Raw genomic sequence first — 1712 nt, forward strand, 5'->3', positions numbered from 1 at the left:
AGACAGAAAAAAAAAAAAAAAAGAAAGCCAACTGTTTTTCCTACTCTCATACTCACCACACAACATACTCTCAATACTTCACTTCTAAAACCAGATGTGTGGCTTTTTCCCCACTTACCAAGAAATTGTCCAGTGGACACCACCTAGGTGTACAATTCATTCGGACACTAGCTACCTGGAGTTACAGTCAGATCCCTCAGGTTAAGGGCTCAGTCCCACAGGACTGTCCCCTCTTCAGATGACAATCCTAAGTCTGGGTCCCTGAAACTTCTGTCCAGCTGGCTCTAATTAGGGTTCCCATGGCCTGCTTCTTGGGTTCAATTAATTTGCTAGAGCAGCTCACAGAACTCAGGGAAACCGTTTACTTACATTTACTGGCTTATTATCAAGGACATTACAAAGGGTACAAATGAACAGCCAGATGAAAGAGATGCATAAGGCAAGGTATGAAGGAAAAGGCAGGAGTTTCCATGCTCGCTTTGGATGTGCCATCCTCTAGGCACCTCCACCTTTTCAGCAACCAGGAAGCTCTCTGATCTCTGTAATTCAGGGATTTTTATGAAGGCTTCATCATGTAGGCATGATCGATTCACTCAGTCTCCAGCCCTCTTCCCTCTCTGAAGGATGGGAAAGGGGACAGAAAGTTCCAAGCTTCTAATCAGGCTTGGTTTCTCTGGTGGATGGCCCCCATCCAGGAGACCTCAAAAAGTCACTTCCTTAGAACAAAAGACACCACTATCACCCAGGAAATTCCAAGGGATTAGGAGCTCTGTGTCAGGAACCAGGGACAAAGAGCAAATATTTGAGTAAAAGATGCACCTAGCACCACTATTGCTTGGGAAATTACAAGGCTTTAGGAGCTCTGTGCCAGGAACTGGGGGTAGTGACCAAATATATATTTTTCTTGTTATTTCATAGCCCTACTCATAAAAATGGTGATGGGCTCAGCATTTTCTATGTTCAATATCTGATGCAATATTAGATACACCCATCTCTTGTGATAGCTCAGAAGTTACCACTAGTATATAGCACCTCCTTACTCCTAAAACCCAGCTTCTGGAGTAATTAAAACTACCATGTACTTCAAGATGAATTCAGATGCCTCAATTTTTCTAAACTTGAAGGTTCTAGGTGGCTAAGAGACCTCCTTTTGGTGGATAATTTTTTTCTTTGAGATTTTTATTGTTTGTTGTTAAATACACTGAACACATACAAGGGATGGCTATAATTTATCTATGTTGGAAAAATAAAAAAGCTACAACTTACTTGGTTATGGTCATTTGAGTACAAAGAGCCTGATATAAGTATCGACCCTAAGTTTCCTCACCTATTCATCTCACACTCATGTTTCAATTTATATTGGTCCAGATTTTCTTTCCTGAATTTTAATATTCACTGTTTACAGCTGTTCCATTGATTATCTCTCATTTGTTTCCCAGAAGGCATGTTTTCTCCAAAAGTACCTCACAAATAACTTTTTCCCATTCTCCCATTCAGGGAGGATATGTTCTTTTTAAAGGATAGATATGGTGGCACAATTTGTTCTCAAATCCAAATGATATAAAATTGTCTCTGAGCCACTGCTCAAATTTCTATTTTTATATCTCTCCCTGCTTTTGTAAAAGATACCTCCTCTGAACACAACTCAGATTTCTGTTCTTTTTGGTAACATGTATGCAACATCTTCAGTTTTTTTTTAAGAACTATTTTTA

The sequence above is a fragment of the Homo sapiens genome, chromosome 14, assembly GCF_000001405.40.
Source record: "Homo sapiens chromosome 14, GRCh38.p14 Primary Assembly".
Classification (NCBI taxonomy): domain Eukaryota; kingdom Metazoa; phylum Chordata; class Mammalia; order Primates; family Hominidae; genus Homo; species Homo sapiens.